The sequence below is a fragment of the Homo sapiens genome, chromosome 14 (genome assembly GCF_000001405.40).
Source record: "Homo sapiens chromosome 14, GRCh38.p14 Primary Assembly".
Taxonomy (NCBI): domain Eukaryota; kingdom Metazoa; phylum Chordata; class Mammalia; order Primates; family Hominidae; genus Homo; species Homo sapiens.
Window position 1 is genome coordinate 78,943,307 of NC_000014.9, and position 25,073 is coordinate 78,968,379.

The 25,073-nt window shown below is 39.1% G+C and overlaps 1 protein-coding gene across 52 annotated transcripts in view; it reads left to right on the forward strand.

Moving 5' to 3' along the window:
* NRXN3 (neurexin 3) overlaps nucleotides 1–25,073 on the forward strand; it is a 1,697,919-nt gene that overhangs the window by 772,934 nt on the left and 899,912 nt on the right. For all 52 annotated transcript variants that reach the window (NR_158973.1, NR_158975.1, NR_158974.1 and 49 more), the window contains 4 exons: nucleotides 13,936–14,055; nucleotides 22,719–23,100; nucleotides 23,902–24,092; nucleotides 24,867–25,040. Coding sequence is in view for 46 of the 52 variants with exons in the window: in XM_011537363.2 (XP_011535665.1) it covers nucleotides 13,936–14,055; nucleotides 22,719–23,100; nucleotides 23,902–24,092; nucleotides 24,867–25,040 (867 nt within the window). In the remaining 6 variants the exon portion in view is untranslated. The remainder of the gene's footprint in view (nucleotides 1–13,935; nucleotides 14,056–22,718; nucleotides 23,101–23,901; nucleotides 24,093–24,866; nucleotides 25,041–25,073) is intronic.

Sequence of the window (25,073 nt, forward strand, 5' to 3'; positions counted from 1 at the left end):
GCGATTTGCAGATTATTAGTAACCAGATAGAACAGCAGAGAAAATAACTAGCTGCCAAAAGGTTGGTGGGGAGGGCTTGGAGGGCAGAGGAACCTGGGCTCAGCAGCAGTCAAGGGGGATTCTGTGAAGTCTGGGGGGAGAAGCACCCTGGTGGGACACTCTAAAATGTCAAGGTGAATGGAGAAAGCAAGGGAAAGAGGCAGGGTTATGAGGAGGGCTTCTGTGAGTGGAGTGAAATTTAAGGTGCCTAAAGAAAGCTAACAGGAAAAGTCTGAAGGTTGAGAAAAGAAGCAAGATCACTGTTAAAAAAAAAAAATATATATATATATATATATATATATATATATATATATATATATATATATATATATATCTCAAAGAATCTAGAAAAAGGATAGGAAGTGGAGTCAGAGGAGAGTTTAGTCTTGGACAAGGTGGCAGGGTCCTTACTCTAATAACAGAAGCAAAACTGTGGATTAAGCTTATAAGGAAGGGATTTCATTTATTTACTCAACAAGCATCTGAGTGTGTAGATGCAGACATGGGCATTTTAGACCTGGTTTTCAAGGTGCCTCCAATCTGGTTGGGGATATGGATAACTGAAGAATTAGTTTGCAACAGCATGAGATAAACCATGAGGGATGCTGACTGGGGTGTTGAAGGGTGAGAGGATGGCAGGTGGTGAGAGAGACATTCCAGAGTTTCCTTGTGAGTTACAGGTTTGGTTAGGAGGGAAGTGGAGCTAACTGTTGAAGAATAGAGATTGGCCAAATCTCTGGAATTTCAGAAGCATCAACTTTGGGAAACGGAATTTGCTAATGGAGTGGAGTCTGATGCAGTTCTTCACTTATTTTCTTCTGGTATGCAGACCAAAATTATCTGAGAATGATCTTTTCACTTCTGGCTACAAAAATGCAAGCCACCAGTAGAACCACAGGCACCAGTTTACAGTGTAGAGAGCACTGGACTGGGAGTCAGATCTGGGTTGTACTTATGTGGTCATGGGAAATTCCTTCCCCTAGGTGCAGGGACTCAGGATTCGCTTTAGTAAAATGAAGGGTTATTCTTTATTGTTCTCAGAAAGGTGGTTTGAGAATCACCTGTGTGGTGGGCTAAGTATTGTTTCCTAAAAATTTGATGTCTACCCGGAACCTCAGCATTGTGACCTGATTTGTAAATAGTGTCTTTGCACATGCAATTAGTTAAGATGAGGTCACACTGGATTATGGTGCTCCCTGATTCCTATGATGGTGTCCTCATCAGAAGAGGGTACACAGAGATGAAGCCCATGTGAAGACAAACAGAGAGTGAAGTGATGCTTCTGTAAGCCAAGGAATATCAAGGATTGCAGGAAACCCCCAGAAACTAGGAAGGGACAAAAATGATTCTCCCCTGGAGCCTTTATGACCTGCTCACAACTTGATTTTAGACTTCTCACCAGAACTGAAAGATAACATATTTTCGTTGAAAGCTACTAAGTTTGTGATAATTTGCTACAGCATCCCTAGGAAAGTAATACCACCTGCATCCGGAATATCAGGAATCTTATTAAAATGCCACTTCATAGTATCCATCCCAGATCTTCTGAATCAGAAATACTGAGACTAGAGCCCTGAGATTTAAACTATTAACATTATTTATGTTTCTTATGAAGTTTTAAATGTGAGAACCACTGGCCTAAATGATGCCTTAACAGCTCTGAACAATCTGAAAGTTAAAATGACAGGACTATTTTATGCATATAGACGACATCTCCCCCGGTGAAGTGTGTTACTTCCCATCCTATAGGTATCACAAACAGAAGTATTTATTTTATTAAATACAAAAAGAACCAGATCGCTTCCAAACTACATGCTTCTAAACACTTTCATAGGTTTTGTGTTCTGGCAGCATTTTAAAGATAAAACTATTAAGGGTTTTATTTTTTCTGGAGAGGTATTTGTCTCTGAGCAGTTTGATGAATATTTAAATTTCTTTTAATCTGTGTTCTCCCATCATTTTCTGTATATGTTTCTTTCTTATCTCATTTTATCTGGCCTTATTTTTTTTCTCTGCTTTTATTCATTTTCTGTGTACTCAGAAATTAAAGGCATATCCATTGTATGTTTTTATTTAATAGTTTTTTACTCTTTATCCTGTACGGCCTGTGGAAAATATTTCACTATGAGGATTAGTCATTGCATCTCTGAACCATCCCTGATGCATCTCTTGGCTAATGGAGGCTGTATAGTGTAGTAGTTAAGGACAAAATGGAACGAGGCTACCCAGGTTTAGTTCCAGCAATTAGGTTATGCAACATTGGGCAATTGACTGAACTTCTTTCTGTGTCAGTTTTCTCAAGGGTAAAATGTGGTTGTTAATGGGACCCATGTGTTAGTCCGCTCTGCTCAGTTATGCTGCAGTAACAGATGCCTCCCTGGAATCCTAGTGACTTAAATGAGCAGAGCTTTATTTCCCACCGGCATTAATATTCATCCTAGTTCTGCTGCAGTGCTTCTTCATGCCTCTTCATTTCTGGACCCTGCCTGAAGAGGCAGCTCTGATTTGTCGCATCCTGGATTTGTGGCCAAGGGAAGAGAGCTAGCAGAGCCATGTGGTGGCCCTCAGACCTTCTAAGTGGTTCACACTATTTCTGCTCACATTTTCTTGGCTGTGAAGCACATAAGGCAAAATGCCTGACATAAGAGGCAGAAAATGTAACCCTCCAGAAAGGGTGGACCTATTCGGAAGAGGCTGGTAGGAAAAGACAGCAAATATTGTCAAAAATAATGTAATCAACCACAGCAACTTTATGGGATTGACGTGAGTATTAAGTAAGTTAACATAGGTAAAGCACTTAGAATAGTGTCTTATGACTATTGTCTGGTGGTCTATTATTAACGGGGTCTTGTGCAAGTATGTGAAGACATTAATTCTTTATTTGAGAATCCAATGTACCTTCCAAGGAAAGTGCTATTTAGAGTTGAGAAAGATACAGAAATACAGGTCTTGGTCTATGCCTTATGGAATCTGTATACTCCTCCATGAAGAATGTGAAGAGGAACAGACAGTTGATGACTTCCAGATGGCCTGAGTGCCCACCAGCAGGGTATCTAGTGGACACCTCTGTACCTGTTCTTCCACATGATTGGTGTTTATTTGTTCAACTCCCCCAGCAGACTCTAAGCTCCTTTAGAACAGTGAGTGTATCTTTTTCATCTTCGCACCCCAGAAACTTTCACAACACCTGTCTAGTAGGTCATCAACTTTTAAATTAAACCCCTCCTTCTTTATACAGTCTGAAAGTGGGGTGGTAATTTCACTCTCTTAGGTAAGAACAGTTTTCTTCTGCTTGATGCCCCATGTTAATGAGGAACTCAGGGTGCATGGAGGAGGCAGTCAGCAGTTTGAAGTTTACATCCATACTGTGCCCAAACTGTTGCACAGAAGTATGAAGACAGCGCATGGAAATTAGTCCTGTTTGCCAACATAGTCGGTTTTGCATGCGTCATACATGGCCAGGCTTGCTGTATTAAGAGCCAGCTGCATTTAAGTCTTACTTAAGGGGAAACAAATACATTTGAATTGAAATACACTTGATTTATTTTTGTTGATGTTCTAGTTTTAATTATTTTCTCTATGTGCATGTCTTGCAAGTTTTATTTTTGTGGGGACTATAAGGATATGATATTTCCAGGGAGACGAAGAGCTATAATTTCTCAACTTTTCAAACCTACATACATATTATTTTAGGAAGGACAAATCTCATCATCTTAGTTAACAAGAACCAGAATAGAGTGATAGTTCTGCTAATCTGGCCTCCTGGGTCTTGCAGTTGCATACACCAGATGCTAAGAGGATAAGACAGATTAGCCAGGAGTAAGACCATTCTGTGTGGCAGCTACCTCTGTCCACAGTGGGTGATCAGCTAATGCCATCAAGCTCATAAGCTGATAGGCCTTGTAATTACCATGCCAAAGAGGCTGCAAATATCCCTCTTTTCCCAATTTTACCTTATATTTAGTACTTTCTATTGTAGGAAGGAGATGCTGCAAACACCATGGAGGTTGATCTGAAAATACCGTATTCCCAGAACTCTTTGTCTTGGGATACTTCTAAAATCCAATGACTGTATCTTCATATCTATACATAAAGTCCCCCATCCAGATGGGATATTCATCCAGAATATGGCAGATAGAACCTGAAGGGTCTTTGGGTATCAAGAGCATATCACTTAGCTTCTTACTTGAATAGACTTACGCTATTTAAGAATGATCGTAACCTCATTCTTGGCAGTAGAGTGAATTAGACAAATTAACAAATTAGAGTTCCCAAAAGTCCTCCATGGTTCAGAGTGAAGAGCTATGTGATTGTGCTTAGAGACCTGTGCTACTTCCTCACAACCCCAGGAGTCTGGTCAGTTTTTGGTAATTTACAACCATGGTCCCTCAGCCTGCCCTGAGTGCTGACAGCAGACTACTGCCTTCTGTACTCTGTGGGCTTCATGGACTCTAGGTGGGTATTTAGGTTAATGGGAAGTGATCTATCTGTGGAGTCAGGACAGGCAGCTATCTAGGTTAATGGGAAGCAATCTATCTGTGGAATCAGAAAGACTGGATTCTTTATTTAATTTCACAATTCAATAGCTTGTGAGCTTGTGCAGGTCACTTAACCTCTTAATCTCATCCTAGGTAATTGACGTTACCTACCTCATGCGGTTGCTGTAACATTTGAGTTACTGCATGGGACATGATTGAGTGCTATGTAGGTTTTATCTTAGTTTGAGTTCCCTTGAGAGCAAAGCCTGAGACAAAGACTTGGGTGAGATAGTTTTTCTGGAGTGGTCCCCAAAAGCAGAAGTGAAGGAGCAGGGAGAGTAAGCAGTGCAGAAAGAAACACCAGTATGAGTGTCCACTGTCAAGATTCCTGCTCTAAGCACTGCATAGGTGGGAGAGATGAAGGTGTTGCCATGAATGCCTCCCAGGATTTTCTGCTTAAAACATAGGAGGTTGGAGTATTTATTCATTGGCTCCCTTCCCCTCCCCATTCTTTGATATTTACCCCTAGGGTATTCTTGCCCTCACTCCCATTTCTTGGTTGCTCTTTCTTGCAGGCAGGGCAGGCACCCTAGCTTTAGAGAAGGCCCAAGGGCTGGCCATGCTTGAAGTGGGGGACCATCAAACTGTCTGAGCTCACAATAACTGTCACCTGCTGCAGTGGCTGAAATCTGACATTGGCTGAGGGAATATGATGCCAGGCGGCACGTGATGCAGGGTCTGCTGGAAGCGCATACAAATATGATATTTTTCATACTCACTTTCATTTACAATATACACATTTAACTTTTTTTTTTTTTTTTTTTTTTTTGCTTTATTAATAGGTTCTGTATGCTAGGCCTGTACCCTGGTCTTACAAATACTTTAAAGAAAGCCCAGGTTATACTCTTCATTATCCTCCTAGAATTAGATTTTCTGTTTCATAATTAGCAATAGTCTCCCATATCCTCCATGCCCTTTACCCAGCCTCACCCTAGTCCTCTTTCAGTCCTGAGACAGGACAACTCAGGGATGTAAACATGGAGAAACTGTGAGAACAAACCAGAGAGGAAGGATTTTTCAGACAGGCTGACTAGGGTTTGAGTCCCACAGCTGTATGACCTTGACAGGTCACAGAGCTTTGCTCTGTCTCTTGATTCCTAAAGCTGGGGTATAGTAGATCAGCTGCATGCTACAAAACTAAATGAGACCACGTATGCAAAGCAACTGGTACTTCTTTATATATGGTACTTTCATTCCCCTATCACTTCCCCAAAAAGCTGCATTTTTTCTGGCCAGGAAGAATATATATTAAAAGGAAAAGTAGTGACTTCATTTATATCTATCTGCTGCCTGATATCTTTCAGCTCCAAATTTGTCAAATTCACTCTACTGCCAAGTTCCTTCTGCTCCTCTTCCTTCTCCCCCTCTACCCTCCATAAATTTACTCTCCTTTAATTTATTCATCCATTTCTATGTATTCACTTATTAATTCAATTATATGTATTTACTACTATATGGAATGCTTTCCTGAATCGGTTCAATCTGTCCTATTGCTAAAATACAGTCTGCAGCTCTCTTCAGCTCCCCCTCCATTTCTTCTCTCCCCCTCAACCCATCCACTCATTTGTTTATTTAATTTATTCAGTTTTATTTATTTGCTCACTAGTTTTTTTCCAATACATTGAACACCCTCTTGGTGCAATGTGCCATGCTTAGTTGTTGGGGATTACAAAGGTAGAATATTCTACCTCAAAGGGCATAGAAGTGAATTTTTTTTTTTAAAAAAAAACTACAATACAAGGAATAGAGTGGTCATTTGCAAAATAAAATTTTTATTGAATTGCTGAAGCAGTAAACTCTCAGCTGGGAGGGTCAGGGAAGGCTGAGGAGGGATGGCTGCAGATAGAAAGGTTATAAAAGTAATAGAGGGAGACAAATGTAAGCTGTATTTTGCATTCCTTGATTCCTATTTAAAGCAAAATATTAATTAATATTAATGTACTAGACCTTTAAATTCATAATTGGATATATATTTTTTTCTGCATGCTAGGGCAAAAAGGTCAATTCACAAGAATACAGACTTAAATTAGAAATGTATTAGGGGATGGTAGGCAGCAGGTCTTATGGCATATCCTCGTTAGAATCTCTTTAGCTCAATCACATTCAGCTTCAAAATCTGTGACTTTAGTGATAAACAGTAAGATCACACGATCAGACTCAAAAGCACTATAATACCTAAAAATCATTGTAAGAAATCTAATTTGTATTAATCATACCATTAGAAAAGTGGAGAAAGTTTCAGTATCTGTTATAAAGTTTTTTTAAAAACAAGAGTAGAATCAATATCCACAAAAGGATCTTCCTGCCTATCCCTGAGAAAATTGCCCTTATCTCTTGAAAAGTGGTTTCATGGAGAGAGATTATCGCAAGAAAGCTTGAGCCTGTCCCCAGCTTACCACTGCTGAGCACTGCTGTAAATTTATGGCTTGAGGTAGAGGTTTGGCAATACATTGGGGACAATATTCTTTTTCATCTTCTGAGGAGCCATTTGTTTCTTTGGAGGTATATCTGCTCCAGATTCATTCCATTTCAAAATTGAGATGCTCCATTCTCTCAGCCAAGATGAATGGGTTCATTTTACACTGTGATCACAATTTAGAGATGCTATTGAATGGGCTGCCAGTGTTTGCTTTGTAATGTTAGGGGCACTCTTTTTTCTAGTCTTAAGGCATAGGTTACAGCACATAACAGAAACCATGCAGGAAAGACAAAAAGAAGAAAGAGAGGGAGGGAAGGAAGGAAGGAAGAAAAAAGAAGGAAAGAAGGAAGGAAGGAAAAAAGGAAGGAAGGAAGGGAACGAGGGAGGTGGGTGGGCAAATAGCAACACCCAACAATCCTGTATCATCAATAGATAGTTGTGGCCTGAGGTATAAATTAACACTATTCTAAGAAAAATCAGGCAAGCAGTGAACTTTGATTCATACGTCTCAGCAGCAGGAAGCTGCCGGGAGCTGGTTATCAAGTGTGACTCATAGGAGAGACACAATACCAGAAGTAGCCTTCTCTGGCTAGTAGGATCAATCATGTCTTACTTTTTTCTGGAATCTTTCCCTTTTCAGTGAGGCTGTTTTCATCTACCCAGTTTGTCAGAGCAAACCCTAGGAATCAACACTGATTTCTCTCTTTACTTCTCCTACTACCAATTCACCTCCCAAACCAATCTCCAAGTCCTGTTGACTCCACCTCTAAAATACATCCCAAATTTTACAACTTTCATTTCTACTGTCTCCTAGTTTTAGCCTAAATCATTTTCATCTCTTTTCTTTAATAGCTTCCTAATAGATCTTGTTTCCATTATTTCACTTTTGGTCTAATATACCTACAGCAACCAGAGTGATTCTCAAAATTTAATTGAGATTATATAATCTCCTTACTTAAAACCTTCCAAGAGCTTCCAGTATGTGTTGAAGAGCTTTCAGGTTTGTACCATGTCATTAGGACTTCATGTGATCTGGACTCTGCCTACATCACCAGCTTTGCATGATTGGCTCCTTCCTAAATGCACCTTCTCAGAGAAGCCTTCTCTGATCATCTCATTTAGTATCTTTCTACCCAACCAACTGCTCAGGACAAGAGTAGAGAAGTCACCTCAAAGAGGCCTTCCTGGAACATTCTACAAAGTAGCCAGTCCTCAGTCCTCACTCCCTACCCCCAACTGCTTTTCATCGTATTACCCTGCCTTATTTTAGATAGGGTTGACAGAACTCAACCCTATCTAAAATTATCTCATGTTCCTTAATTTGTGTATTGTCTATCAGATTTTCTCACCCCAAAGTAGACTGTAAACCATGTAAGGCAGGACCCGTTCTGTCTTGTTTATCTTTTTATCCTCCACAATGAGGATCAGAATGAGCATCAGAATGTGACCACAGTGCCTGGTTGCCTTCTGATGCTCAATTAGCATTTGTGAAAGATGTGAATAGATAGTCTTGCAAAACCTTGGCAGAAGTGAGTAACAGTATTCTATTAATACCCTGGGAGGCTGAAGTAGAGGATGAGGCACGGAGAAAGAGGTGAGTAGTCCATCGTTGAACTTGTTATATGTGGCAGTCTCAATGGTATGTTTGCTTATTAAATCCTGATAAATATTGGTGGCATTTTTAGTAGGTTTTAACTAGAAGCAGGGGCTCCTGGAGGGTGCTCAGGCTGAATAGCTGGGTCACTTGTCTTTCTCACACCTCCCTGGGAGACTTCTCTGTAGAAGACTTCAAGAAAAATCCCTGCACCTTCCACACCTGTTGTAGGAGGTATGGCAGCTATTCCTGAGCCTTAAGTACTCCAGTAAGAATGAAATGAACTATTTGAGGTGTTCTGCCAAACGGGCTCTAAAAATAATTATGATTTAAAATGTTTTTTTTTTCCAGTGAATATGAACGCTTTAAAACTAAGTTTGTAAAAACAAAACAAAACAAACAAAACACCTCCTCAATCTCTGTTGGGTTAGACACCCAAAGAAAGCAACCAGAAGCTGAAATTTTGTGGACAGAACATAAAACGCCTTTTTCCTACTTCTCTGTCCTCCTCTTCTTCCTTCAGTCCTGTTCTTTTTCCTTATCATCCCTGCTTTTACTTGCCTGATCTGTTTTGTCTGGGGAGGATGCCTAATACAATGTGTGATGCTATGGGCTTAGTGAAATGCTTGTCACAGCTCAGCTAGCCTAGCCAAAGGGGCTGGTGGAAGCAAAGGTAAGTTTTCTTTTTTGACATATCTTTGGTTTCCTTCAAATCTAACACAGTCCATCATTTTGAGCATTTATTAACCATATCATTTAGATGTATAATTATAGGCATCTTTCACTACGCCTTTCTAAAGAGGGTAATTTTCATATATTTTATGCATTGTAGAAATTTTGGTTCATGTGAAACATAGTTTGAAGGGAAATCAAGTTACTGTTTCATTTACCTCTTTGAATAAATAGAAAGATGTTCAGGTAAAACCAAGTGATTATGATACAGATCTCACCCCCTCCCTCCCCAACCTCCACCCAAGCAAAAGTTTCCAATGGTTCCCCATACACTTTTGGAAACAGAGCTTTGTGGCATATGGAAGGAATTTCTACCCCCTGCGTATGAGCAAACCCATCTGGTTTAGTTGGTTTGGCCAGGTCTTAGAAATACATTGACAAACACGTGTATGTCAGGGGTAACTTGTAGTCTTGCTGCTTATATTGCTCCTGGGGGGAATAAGAAATTCATGTAATATGAACAGTCTAGTTTTTAAGAAAACTGAAATAAATTAAAAATAATTAAAATCCAAAGTTCACCTTATGAAGGTGTGTGCCTTTAATAATGCTCAAATATAGATTTTTAACATACACTCTGATTTTCTGTCTGCCAAAAGAGGGAAAAATCTGATAATAGCTGAGTGTCATCTTCCTCCAAGCAATCAGCAATGCATTATTTCCTAATATTGCTGTTTGATTTCATTATTGGTTCTGGCTTCTTAAAGAAATAAGGGTTCCATAGGGTTACTGTAGGATAGGTCAAGAAAAACAATCTAGTCAGTGTATTTCATCCATGATATCTTATTCCGTATTCCCCATTCAACAGAGAATTAGGCCATCTTCTGTGAAGCAAAGCCTTACCTCAAAGAGATGGTGCTAAATGAGTTTTCAATGAGGATAGCTTGTGTGAGCATTTGGGTGGTATTATTACCCAAGGGATTCATTAAAGGCTCTCTGTTCTACAATAGTAAACAATTAAACACTCTATTTTTACAAAGTTCTGCATCCCAGAAATCTTTTGCATCTTTATTCCAGGCATGAGTGTCATTACCTGGGAAATTCAACTGAGGAGTGTTAGGTAATTTATTAACATTCTCTACTTAGATCCAGCAGTGATAGTTTAAGCAGCCTCAAGAGAATCAAAGGATTTTTTTTTGTGATCAATATTTATTACTTAAACTATAAAAGAGGGAAAAATACATGTAATACATACAACTAATATGTACCCAGTTGCAGATCATAACTTTCCTAGTTATTAAAAATGCAGGAAAGTTAATGGTTTTGAGACGTTTCTTAAGTTCTCACTAGTTTCATTTTAAATTTCAGTGTTTTCTTCTTTTTGTCTGAACCATCCTTTACTTACGTGAATCACTCTTTACATTCATTGCTTCACTGATGCTACTTCACTGGGTTTTTGCTTGAATAGGCCAGAAAAAGTCATCCCTAGACTACATCATCAAGAACAGTTTTGTATATTTCAACCTTCAGCTTGTGTCTGCATCTTGCATTACTTATCAATTCACTTTTATGCCTGGGCTACTTATTAGGTTTGTTTCTCCTCTCTCTTTGCCTTGATTTCCCGCTGAGTGTAAACATCACTTTTCCTCTGTAGAATGAGTTGACCTTTTGACTTGATTAAGGATAAATGCCATTGACTCTCCACTTCTGGAGGCCAAGGGTTTTACAAAATCCCACTGGGACTTATTTATTTATTGTTTGAAAATGAATATCAAATACTATTCCATATCATTTTAATGAGATGGATGTGAATCTTTTTTTTTCTACTTTAAGAATAATAAGAATTGTTACTGTTGGAGGTATCAAATGTAACTAAATAGTAGGGCATGAGAAGCTTCAGTTTTTTGGGGGTTTTTTGAGATGGAGTCTCGCTCTGTCATCCAGGCTGGAGGGCAGTGGCGCAATCTCAGCTCACTGCAACCTCTGCCTCCCTGGTTCACTCCATTCTCCTGCCTCAGTCTCCCGAGTAGCTGGGACTACAGGCGCCTGCCACCATGCCCGGCTAGTTTTTTTGTATTTTTAGTAGAGACGGGGTTTCACTGTGTTAGCCAGGATAGTCTCGATCTCCTGACCTCGTGATCTGCCCGCCTCGGCCTCCCAAAGTTCTGGGATTACAGGCGTGAGCCACTGCACCTGGCCTGGTTTTTTTTTTTTTTTTTTTTTTTACATTTTTATTCATTGGCCATCACATTCCAAAGTTTTACAGTCAAATGGACAGTTAAATATTTGTGTTTGAATCTGACCACTGTGAATATCTCAAGGATACCATAAGAGCTGATGGACCTCCAAACGTTAGCATCACTGGACTGAGAGAAAGCTCGTTTTATATCTCTATAGGTACTGTCATACCAATGAAGCAATGTTCCCAAACTACTATGTTTGTGTTAGTCATTTTCCGCTTATCTTGTCCCCAATCATAAAAATTAAGCGATGTACAAAAATTGCCTAAAGAACAGATGCCACCTTATAGAAGATGTTTTAAATAGCCCGTACTTGTAGCAGTTCTGCCTTCATAGCTAATATTCTCCACGTCTTTCTTCACTTTTTTCTTTCTTATTGAAGCATTTGCATGTAGAATAAAGAGGATAAAAACATAAAAAAACAAAGACAGATTTGTTTTTTCTGAGAACATCTGTTCTTGTTATAAAGAATCCACATGATGTGGTCCATTTTCTTTCAATGCCCTCACTGTTGGCTGTTGTGATGGCAACTGTTACATCAATCTTAGACCTGAACTTAATAAGATAATGAAGAGTAGTATCTAATCAGTTGAAAATACAGGGAAATTCTGTTGTAATACATACATTTTATGTAATATTGAGACAAACATACAAAGCAAGATAAGCTGAGATGTAATCTAAAATGGTTTATTGTAGAATTACTTTATTCCTAAGATTCATTGCTCTCATGGCATCACTACCTAATTTTGAGTGCATTTGGTCCTTTAGGTTTCCTTACTAAATGTTCAAGATTCTTGTAAATTTGGGTTGCCCTTGAGCTTTGGGTGCATTCTGAAAATTATTAAATATAAGTCATTTGCTGTGTACATTGTAATTAAAAGAAAATTTTTCACTTTGAAACTCTGTTTATTTTTCAAGAGGAGAGTTCCTCCAAACTTGAACTACTACCATAGCTCTTATAACCAGCAGAAAATAGGAATACTAATTACTCAAAATTAAAAGGTGTAGTTTGAAATTACCTAGAGATTTATATTCCCCTGTATAAAATGTCTTCAGTCTTGGAGAGGAGGGAGGAGTGTAGCTAGTGACAGTTACATAATAAAGCTTTCAAAATTACTTAGATAAAATATATTGACTCTAATTGATGGTTACCATAGAAACAGACTTATATAGACATTGATTATTCAAGCACTCATTAAAGCTCCTACTATGTACTTGGCCCTGTGCTCAGTATATGTTGGAGCCAAGTATATGGTTTTCCAAACTATTTCACATATATCCATAGGGATATATTAGCCACTTATATGTTATATCATTTTATTTCCTAGTCATTTTCAGGAATGGGGCTTTCCACATATAGATTGACTAATCCAAAAATATTTAATCAGCGTCTTTCTTCATGAGCTCAGCTATCCTCCTACAAAGAGCAAACTTGGTCTGTCTTCTGCTTCTATGTAATCTTCTTTGTCTTTTAAATTTGCATTTCAGATCAATAACGATATACATCCTAAAAGAATGTGATATTTTCTTCCTTTATTAACTGGATCATTTTAATGCCTCTTTGTCTCTCTTGCCATCTTTTTCCCCTAAGTACAATTCCTGTTACCCCTGATTCTTTATAGGGTTCACTTGAACCTTAGCTTGAGCATCTGGAGCATGGATCTCTTGAGACAACTTGGTTTATTCCTCTATTTAGTGGCACTTTATATTAGTCATGCTTTTGTCCTGAAAAGTTTCAGTTTTGGAACTTTACATCATTTCAGTTTTTAGGTATTTGGATCCTTTTGGAGGATGATGAACAATGGGAAAATTCTGGGGGCCCTCACATTCCCTTCAGGAGCATTATTTATGATGGGGTTTAAAACTTGACAGTATTACTATTGTAATGCTTACTATTGTGATTTCTATGGTCGTGAATCCTAGTAGGACCCTGTGTTAATGGAAATGTCAAGTTAAGGCATATGTGTTGCAAAGTTCTTTTCTCGTCCTATTGGTGGATACTCTCTAAAAGCCAGACTGGTGTATCATGCCAAATGGCCAAATTATTCTATAGAAAAAATACTATGGTAAATTTCCTATATCTTAAAGGAATTCGTCTGGATTCTAAAACTTTGAGAGATTAATGACTGCTAACTACAGCTTCCTGTAAATGATTGCTTACTGCCATTGGCATTTGAAAACCTTATATCTAAGATAAAAGAAGGCACTATTTTTTTCATTACTGTACCATTATCCTTTATGTTTGAATTGAGACTTTTGCATTTGGGGACTCCTACAGAGAATCCACTGGATCAGTAAAATTCGAATGGACTTTGGGTGGAATATAATTCCTTGAATGCTGCTGGGTCATGTGCACCAGTGTGGTTTTGACAACCCTGATGCATGAGCACTACTTTCAGAATTGATTCTAACTTTGGCACTTACTACCATCCTTAGGCAAAGGACCAGAGACCTTGTATGCAGGGCAGAAGCTCAATGACAACGAGTGGCACACCGTTCGGGTGGTGCGGAGAGGAAAAAGCCTTAAGTTAACCGTGGATGATGATGTGGCTGAGGGTGAGTATGACTATGGTGAAATTCGTCTGTCTTTTCTCTCAGTCCTCTCAGTCACTGAGTGAGCAAACAGTGTTTTGCAAAACCTTTTATTTTGCATAGTAGAAGTCACAAATCATGTTTTCTGTTGACAAACTCAGGCAAGGCTAAGAAGGTCTTCCTCTGTATTTTACAATACCTTTTCATCAATGTGCGTTATGGAAATTACCTACTAACTATAACTACATATTTATGGGTCTCTCTCCTTAGGCGTAGAGTATGTGTCTGGAGAACAGATGTAGGGTTCTACAGATCCTTTTATTATTCAATCATTCAAAAATCACATGTCAATCATCCTCCCATATGCCAGTTCCTTCCATCAGTGAGTGAATCACTCTCTAGTAGAAGAGATGGGCAAACCAGAAATTCAGAACATTACAGGTAAAAGTAAGTACTAAAACAGTGCATGATACTTAGAAGGTGCTGAATAAGGTTTGGTTTAATTAATTACTTATTTAATCATTATTAATTATCTATTCTGCACTACACACCATTTTACAAGGCACTGATAATACAGTGGTGAACAAACAAGCAAATCTTTGGCCTGGTGGGATTTACATTTAGAATGTGGAAAGAAACATTCAGAGCTCCACACAATCAATAAGTATTTCCTAAGAGTCTGTTCTATGTCAGCAGTATGCTAGAATTGCAGAAGATAAAATGGAAACAGATGAGATTACCTGTTTCCTCAAATAATGAACCAATTAAGCAGATCAGATAGGACTCTGGTATTTGAAAACAGGACCAAAATATATAATGAGATTCTAATTTTGATGGGTGAGATTACAATTTGTCAATCAGAAGAGAGAATTACCCATTTGGGCTGGAGAAATCAGGAGTGGTTTATAAACGTAGATCTTCAGACTGAATTTGATGGTGGATGTAATTTATGAAGGCTGAGGTACAAGAAAGAGGGTATCATCAAGTGCCATTTTACATGCTATATCTTTTTTTTCTTTCTTTCTTTTTTTTTTTTTTAAGACAGTCTTGCTCTGTCGCCCAGGCTGGAGTGCAGTGGCGCGATCTTGGCTCACTGCAAGCTCTGCCTCCCGGGTTCACGCCATTCTCCTGCCTCAGCCTCCCGAGTAGCTGGGACTACAGGTGCCTGCCACCACGCCTGGCTAATTTTTTGTATTTTTAGTAGAGATGGCGTTTCACCGTGTTAGCCAGGATGGTCTCCATCTCCTGACCTCCTGATCCACCCGCCTCGGCCTCCCAAAGTGCTGGGATTACAGGCGTGAGCCATCGCGCCAGGCCTTACATGCTATATCTTATAAGTCTTCCCTCTCTGATATTCTAGAGCAGGACACATCTATGAAGCAGAATTCTTATCCATATGGGAAAGAAGATTTGGGGCAGCATGGGGTATTACATGAAACACTGTTGCCATCAGATCTGGGCCCTGACGTTAACTTGCAGGACGTTAGGAAAGTTAACATTCCTGGGCCTTGTCAAATGCAGTCAGTGGCCTAAGCCATCTCCATGGTTTCTTCTGTGAATAAGACAGTCAGTAGCCCTGGGGGTCTAATATAATCATTGCCACTAAAATATTTTATGCCTTTGAGATAGATATACTAAACCTCTTTTTCCTAATTTCCTCATTTTTAAAATTGATATTCTATTATTTCTATGGCCTTTCCAGCATGAATATTCTGTAATTTGGGGTCTTATAATTTAATTTTATATTCATGAGCCTGAGTTTCTATACTTCTGGAATCAGGAAATATAGTAAGATATGTACGTGCATGTACAGGTGTGTGTGTGTAGAGAAGGATAGCCTGTGGATTAAGGAAGAGCGTCTAGGCACATATCCAGTGCCCAGTAGGCATTAGAAACTGTTAGCTGTGTTAAGCATATCAGCTCCTTTAATCTTCTATCATTCACTATAGCCTTTAAAGGTAAGTGTTCTTAATGCCATTTAAAGGAAGCATAAAACTTTGAGAGCGTTGTATAATTAAGCTCCAAATCCATGTCAGTGTGATTCCACAAAATCATTCTGCTTGCTGTACTTCAAAATCCATCATAAGAAAATAATTTATCTTACAATATGGGAAAAATATAATGGAATGGGTTGGAGTGAGGTAGGGAATGCATTAGCTTATTAAAGTCTCCTAAGAAACTTACAGGAGGTAGGCCACAACACTTGACCTCTCCCTCACAAAAACAAAGACAAACAGAACCACCACAACAATTACCCAAAACACTTCGATTACACATAGACATAACTCAGAAGCGGGAGGTGAAGTTCCTGGTCTACGTGCCTGGAGCATAAATTTGCATTCTGAAATGAACATTTTAAAAGAGATGTACAAATGGTTACACTATTTAGCGCCCGCAGCCAACCTGAATTAATTATTCAAGAACTGTATGAACTGTTGGTGCATCTGGATCCTGCAAAGGATAAGTCACACATCTGTTGCTCACTCCTCTGGGCTTGTCTCTGAAGGGTGATGGGATTCACAGCCGCTTCTGAAAAGCAGCCACTAGATGGCGACCTCACCCTGATCTCTCCTGACAGTGAGTTCGTTTCATTTTCCCTGGAAAATAAATGCTCCAAAAGTATAGTCATAAAGAACTACAGAGCTGAGGGTACTATAATGTGTCTCTCTCAGTCATTATTCTTTTATGAAAACTTTGGAATAAAGCTATTTGTAAATTGCACTTTCTTTTACCACTAATAATTAAAAAGCAGGGCCAAGTCACGAAATGCCATTATCCAGTAATTTGATTTTTTGAAATTAATGAAACGCTTTCATTTTCAGACGTGTCCCCCCAACCCCCCGAACTTCACTGCTGATGGAAGAAAGCAGCCAGAAGGATAAAGAAATTTGAGAGGGGAAAAGTGCTGTTTTGCTTATGAGTTACAATCTTGGGTTGCTTTTTATAGTGATAAGGGGTTGGGAAATTTTAATTTTAGTTCACAGAAGTCATAAAATCAGGCAATGAAACTAAAATACCCACAGTCCTCAAGTTATTAAGTAGTATCTCATTGGCTTATTTAGTAATCCCTTTAATGTTCTTTAAGGCCCCCCTAGTGTGTCCAATTTCAGCTAGTTTATAGAAATGATGTAAAGAATAGGTCTGGCTCACAAGAAATCAAAAGCAAGGATAGAAATATTCCTCAACCTTGTGTTTATCATTTATTGTAATGTGATTGTGTTCTTGGAAAAGCATTAAGTTCGGGTGACAGTTAATAATAATTGATTGATCTATGTTTCTATTATTAAGAATACATTACTATACCAAGCATAACTTGAGTTATACTCCTCAGAATTGGGGCCTAATGCTGCATGAACTGCCTCCTCTGCCTAGAACTTCTTGCTAGTACAAAAACTTGCCCTTGCTAGTAGAAAAATTTGACTACACTGGTTCTTGTTGACTTTTCCTGTCCTTACCTACATAGCATGTATAGCACCAAGCTGTAAAAAGTCATTTTGCAAAATTTTCCATTTAAAATGTATTTCTCATAGTAATTTTTAAAAACTTGACAAAATAGGATTGAGGAGTGTGCGGTCAAACAAAATGAAATGGAGTTCTTTATTGCCAGGCTTATTAGGAGACTTTAATAAGCTAATGTACATTGCAAATCATTGATAAGTATGCAGTATTTGCTAATTTTTTTTTTTTTTTTTTGGTTCCAGAAACTTTTTTTACTGAAGTATTTTATACCACATACTTACACACTTTTAAAAAATGCTGACATTATGGAGAAAAGGATTTGGGACCAGTAGAGCTAGGGAATTATGGGCAAAATATGAAGATTCTTGACTGGTACTCTGTAAGCCTTCGTTTTCTTAACTTCTCTCCCCACGTCTAAGGGCCATGAAAGGTCAATTTGCTTCCTCTCAGCGTTTCCCATTATTATTCTTTTTTGCTGAGCTCTTAGTTTTGACCAGGAACCTCATGTGTGGAAATGGTGAGGACCCAAACCTTGACCCCAAAGCAAATGTCTCAAATACAAGCCCCTCCCCCCAGAAGTTAGGAATGCTGGCTGTGCTCAGACCCCTCTGGTAGCCACTGGGGGACATATAGAAGACACAAGAGGTGGCCTCTACTTAAAAAGAGCCCACATTCTCACACAAAAAAAGAGAAAAACAGTAAGTGAAATGACCACAACATGATTCAATCATTTCGGAGGAAGGGAGAGAAATGAATGCAGCATAATTAGTAATAGCGCACGGTTTAAGCCATAGGCACTCTATTAAAAACTTTACGTGTGTTGATACGTTTAACCCTGCTAACTTCATATCCGTTTTACAGATGGGGATCTGAGGCATAGAAAAATTCAGTAACTCCCCCAAGGTAACCCAGTGAAGAAGTCTTGGAAGCAGAATGCAAAGTCAGGCAGTACAGCCCTGGACTCTCCATGCTCATCCACTATATGCTATTGCTTCATAGGAATAGGAAGCTACAGCTTGAACCTGGCCAGAATTTTCCATAACTATATGTCCTTCGTCACTCTAAGAGCTGGTTTGTAGACTGCTTGTTGGCCATCAGTGCAATATGGAAGTGAATGTGTGACAAGGAGGCAAGGCAACAATGCTGCTTTAGGGAGGGTGCTGGATATATTACCCATGAATTAGATGGAGTGACATTCTGATACTGGGCCATAGGGAAGAAGTACAAACTCCTTAGAACAGCTTCTACATGGAAATTTCACCAGTTAAATTCTACCTACTGCTTTTCTTGGGCAATGATGTGAGGAATAAGTAAAACCTTTTTTCCAAAGACAGTTCATTGTACTAGTAAAGATATGGGCTTTGGAATTAGCACACCTGAGTTCAATGTAGGGGTCTACCATTTACCACCTGCATGAATCTTGATCAAACTGCTTAACCTCTGCAAGCTAAATGTCCTAACCTCTAAAGCAAGAGAAAGATACTTCTCTACAATTTTATTGTGATAATGACATTTCATAGTGATTATGCAGTATTTAGCACAGTGCTTGCCTTATATGGAATTTTCAGTAGTCTTGGTTTTGGCTTGTTATCTTTCTCCCCAGTTACTTCTCTTTCCCCTGAAGTTTGAAAGAAGCGGCTGTGAGGTATGAATATATTTGCCCCTTAAGTAGAAAGGAGGTTCAGTTTGCAGACAGCATTCAGAGGAGATGAGTGAAAGGTTTCCATCACTACTATTGATTAAATGACACATAGATTAAAAAAAAAATATTTGGTTGGTTTGGCACAGGTTTCAAACTTTCAGCATCTCTCATGCTTTGCACAGGTGCAATAATATACTTATTTTTTGAAGTCTTCATCAACAAAGGAGTAAATTCGTTTAGCACACAGTGAAGCCAATTCTTTTTCTTTCCTTTTTCTTTCTTTCTTTTTTTTTGAGACGGACTCTTGCTTTGTCACCCAGGCTGGAGTGCGGTGGCATGATGTCGACTCACTGCAGCCTCTGCCTCCTGGGTTCAAGCAGTTCTTCTGCCTCAGCCTCCCAAGTAGCTGGGACTACAGGCGTGTGCCACCACGCCAGGCTAATTTTTGTATTTTTAGTAAAGACGGGTTTTCACCATGTTAGCCAGGATGGTCTCGATCTCCTGACCTCGTGATCCACCCACCTCGACCTCCCAAGCCAATTCCTTTTCTAATTTGATCTCACATGGCCTTCTCCCCCTCCCCTCACCAACTTTTAGTTGAGGCTCCTGTGTGAGTCATCCTGAACTCCCAGTTTGTGTTCCTGGGCTAAGCTCCTAAATCCACTATTAACTTCACTTCTTGTACTTATCCACATCCACGCTCAGTCTCTCTGCTATCTCAATAAACACTTTTTTTTTTGCTATGAAAAATTAATTTTCTAGTGAGCAGAATATCCCAACCCCTCAATCCTGGAGATCAATTCATCCAGAATTTCTCTGAAAGTTCTCAACTTGACTTTAAAATTGTTTCTTCAGATTCCTTTTGGAACCTCAATCTTCACCAGAGATTCCCCATTCTGACTTCTTAGTTCTCATCTTAGATTTTTTCTTTGTAAAATAAGAATTAGCATGACTAGCAGCATCATCATAGTTCAGTTTCTCTGTTTCTGTGGATATTGACTATGACTCCCCCTCCCCATCATTTTCCAGCCCAGCTCCCCTTCCTGGTAGGAGTAGCTATAGCCAATTTGACAGTAGATGTTTCTTTCAGTCACTTTATTAATTTAGAGCATGCAAATTTAGATTATGTTGCTTTGTATTTTCACAGCCTGTCTGATTTTTAACACTAAGCAATTTTATTTCCTAGTTATTTGTTAGCAGATTTATGTTGCATTTTGATTTTTATATTTAAGTTAACCAACATCTTTTTTTCTTATACTAAGAGAGTGATTTGTCACTAGTTGTCAAAACACTGCATAGAAGCTCATAACATGTAAATCTAATTTTTGTGCTTATAGGGAATATAAGAAATTTTATTTTTATTTTTTTAGAGACAGCATCTCGCTGTGTTACCTAGGCTGGAGTGCAGCCTCAAACTCCTGGGCTCCAGTGATCCTCCTACCTTAGCCTCCTGAATAGTTAGCACTATAGGTACATACCTCTATGCCTGGCTAATATTTTTTTTTTAATTTGTAGAGACTGGGTCTTGCTATATTGCCCAGGCTGGTCTTGAACTCCTAGCCTCAAGTAATCTTTCTGTCTCGGCCTCCCAAAGTGCTGGGATTACAGGCATGAGCCACTGTCTCCAGCCAATTCTTTAAATTAGGTCTGAGTTTTTTCCCAAAGAGATAAAACCAATATTGAGCACTTAAGGGTATGATCTGGTTTAGTCTCCCAGATACTGAAGTTTAAGAGACCTAAGAAAATACAATCCTCCCTTTTTTTGTCACTGTAATTCTGAGCCAATAGAGAAAATATTGCAATGAGGATGGAAGGCAAATATCATTTTAATTAGTAATAACACACAATAATATTGCTTACACCCACTGAACTTCAGAATTAGACAGAACTGCCCACTTGAATAGTAGTTCAGAACTGGGCAGACATCCTTTGTGGAAGCAAGGCTTGCTCCTGTAACACCCATTCTATGGATGCATGCAGTAGAATGGACATTTCTGAAGGCAGCTTGCTCCAGCAAAGAGAAACAGGAGGTGTTAGGGGCTGAGCTAAGCATACACAGCTTCTCTTTGCAGATCATCCTTAATATTTCTGATTATGTCACTTCTTCAGGAAAGTTGTTAAAGAGGAAATAAAGAGATGCTATCAGTCTTGCTAATGGAGTTTTTTCAATGTAGAAGGTAACAAGAGAGGACAGGAAGAAAGAATTCCCCCTCTAATGCTTGGCAGTAGAACATGGTTTGTTATGTTTTAACATGATTTTTCTATATAAATGTTGAGGAAGCCAATTTCTACTCTGGCCACATTAATGATGTTTTTCTTTATTTTGTTATTAAAATTTCCAGTCTCTTTGTATTTTTTTTTCAAGCCCTCCTTATCCCCTCTGCCCTAGTCACTCACCACTTCTAGGTAAAATAGGTAATACAAGTTCTAAATAGTTCATTTGTAACAGCTGAAGATATTTCCGTTGTGAATGTCAGAAACCCAACTCAAACGCTTTAAGCATGAAAGGGAGTCTATTGCCACACAGTTTGAAAAAGCCGGGAGGTGCCTGGCTTGATCCAGAGTCTCAAAGGACAGCACAGATGATTCTCTTCATTTGGTAATTGTCTTCTGGGTTGCTAGTCCTCTGATCCCTCTGATTTTCTTATAGCCTCTAGGGACTCAAAGCTTTCTTCTTACCCCTCCAGCAGTCCTTGCTTGCAAAGAATCCTCTTTCCTAAGTGTACCAGCAAGAGCTCTGGAACTGAGTGTGGCCGGGATGGCTTGGGTTGTTGCCAGTTCTAAGGGTGGTCCCTAAATCAGCCACAAGAGCATCACTGTGAAACTTGTTAGAAATGCAGATTCTCAGGCCTCACCCCAGACTTTTGAATTCTAAACTCTGAGGGCCTAAGCCCCCCAGGTGATTCTGATACACCCTAAAGTGTAATGACCGCTTTTTAAGTCTGTAGTCCAAAGTCTGTGACAGTTAGGGGGGTAAAGTACATTGAGTGGTCTAGGCTGAGTAGCTTGATTAGGGTCAACTTTATCCAGTCCAGGTGGTTGAAAGGTCAAGAGGGGTGGGTAGCTTCCTAAAGAAAAATTACGTGTTATTATAAGATAAAGTAACAGTTGCTGGGCAGGTAAACTCAACTGATAAGTCTATAATAGAATCCTTCCCACGAGTACTAAGTGGAGAGTTATTACGAGAAAAAATACTTGGTAGTGATGCCCAAGACTTGTGTGTTGTGTCTTTACAAGGGTCAGAGCAACAAAGGCCTTTCTTCTTATAGTGTGTATTAGTGTCCAGTGATTCTCCTGAATGGAGAATATCAATAGTTTTATCCTTTAGCCTGGGTTACTCATGACCTCATATTTCCCCTTATATGATGAGCCGTGCTGAGCAGCTGCGTGACAGCATGTAATTTGGGCAATGCCTGATTGAGGCCAAGTAAGGTATCTACCATATTGAATATTTGGTTTTCTTGAACTCACCCAAGAAAGCTGAATATTCTGTGTGGAAACAGGTTACACCCAAAAAATATACTTGAGGGTGCTGTGATAAATGATGGTAACTTTTCTGTTTGTACCTCATTTACAATTTTCACAGGTACAATGGTGGGAGACCATACCCGTTTGGAGTTCCACAACATTGAAACGGGAATCATGACTGAGAAACGCTACATCTCCGTTGTCCCCTCCAGCTTTATTGGCCATCTGCAGAGCCTCATGTTTAATGGCCTTCTCTACATTGACTTGTGCAAAAATGGTGACATTGATTATTGTGAGCTGAAGGCTCGTTTTGGACTGAGGAACATCATCGCTGACCCTGTCACCTTTAAGACCAAGAGCAGCTACCTGAGCCTTGCCACTCTTCAGGCTTACACCTCCATGCACCTCTTCTTCCAGTTCAAGACCACCTCACCAGATGGCTTCATTCTCTTCAATAGTGGTGATGGCAATGACTTCATTGCAGTCGAGCTTGTCAAGGGGTAAGTAGAAGGGATCACGACTTATGTTGGACACCTTTAATCTACTGAAGCTCTACGTAAAATATGGACATAAAAATAACTTGTCTATTCTACTCCCTACCCTCCATTCCTGACACATTCTCGCATCTTCCTTGATTAAATGGATCCATAAAATTATTAGGTCTGGAAAGGAGAGAGGCTCATGATTTAATTTAAAGGTCTTCCACTAACTCAACACTAACAGACTTTTTCCTATGAAATGTAGCCCTTTAAAACTATTGAAGAAAAGCTTATTTTTGCAAAAGAGGGCTATGATTTGTATTGCATCTAATTCTTGAGTATTACTAACTACAACCACCCAATTTATACCAAAAGATGAAACATAAATATTTTAAATCCTACCATTAGCCCATATATGCAAGTTTTTAGAAGCTGCCCTTTCCTCAAGACATTTTACTACCATGTATTAGAAAATAGTCAAAACAAAAAACCAAAACAAAAACCAAAACAGATTAATGGTTGATGATGAATTTAAAAGTCACCCCCTTATGTTTTGTAGTGTACAACCTGTGCTACTTTGACTCTGGAGAGTATTAGTAGGTAGTGTTAATGAAGTGGACTCGATGAGTATGGAATTATAGTGAAGCATGATAGAATAAAATCTGACTATTCTTGTAACCTCATATCAAGATTTAAATTATTCCTGCATTATGCCAGTTTAGCATGGGGGATTTGAAGCCCACTATGTCAGTTACACACATATAGCCATTAAACCACTTCGGGGATTTTCCAATTATTGTTTTTTTTTTTTTTTCTTCCTAGGTATATACACTACGTTTTTGACCTCGGAAACGGTCCCAATGTGATCAAAGGCAACAGTGACCGCCCCCTGAATGACAACCAGTGGCACAATGTCGTCATCACTCGGGACAATAGTAACACTCATAGCCTGAAAGTGGACACCAAAGTGGTCACTCAGGTTATCAATGGTGCCAAAAATCTGGATTTGAAAGGTAAACCTTGTAAAGAAATTTAGTTTTTAATAGAGCTTTTCTTACAATAGATAGACTATTTCCAGAGGCAAACCACAGGTTCAGAGTGCCATGCATTTTTGATACATCATCCATATCCTGTTTTAACAATGTTGAATTATCCTGTAATGCAATTTTTTCCGTTTTTACTTAGACTACTCATCAAGAAATGGTTCATTTTCTCTGATAACCTCGGGAATGTCATGCTGTGGGGGCTGAGAGATGACAGGATGAGTGTCAAAGTGTGGGAAGGGCCGTAATACAGAGGAAGGAATATAGGCTTTGGAATTTCAGCTGAATCATTTAATGTCTGGTGTCATCAGTAAACTGTCTTAGCCTTGTTCAGCTTACATTTACTTTTCTTTGCAAAATGAGGATAATAATTGTTAGTTTCTGTATAGGTCGTGAGAAGTTTTGATGGCATGTCTGTATATCCCTCAGCATATTATTGGTAACAAGCACATAAAAAGCACTCAATAAATGCTTGCTTTGTTGACAATATTGTTAATCTTTACTCCATCTATGATGAATAAATTTTTGAGATGGTATATATAAAATGAATGACACATAATAAATATTGGTTTCCTTTTTTTGCAGGGTAGAAACTCAGGTGCTTATCTCATTTATGCTGTCCCCCCCCCCCCCCCCCAGCTATCTTATTCCTTATCTGATGAATTATCTCAAGTGTATCAAACTAGTTGACATGGTCACCACATCCTTTACTCATTCTCTTTTGCTAATTACTTTCCTTTCCAGGTGATCTCTATATGGCTGGTCTGGCCCAAGGCATGTACAGCAACCTCCCAAAGCTCGTGGCCTCTCGAGATGGCTTTCAGGGCTGTCTAGCATCAGTGGACTTGAATGGACGCCTGCCAGACCTCATCAATGATGCTCTTCATCGGAGCGGACAGATCGAGCGTGGCTGTGAAGGTACAACCTATTTTTTTCTTGTTAAGCTACAGC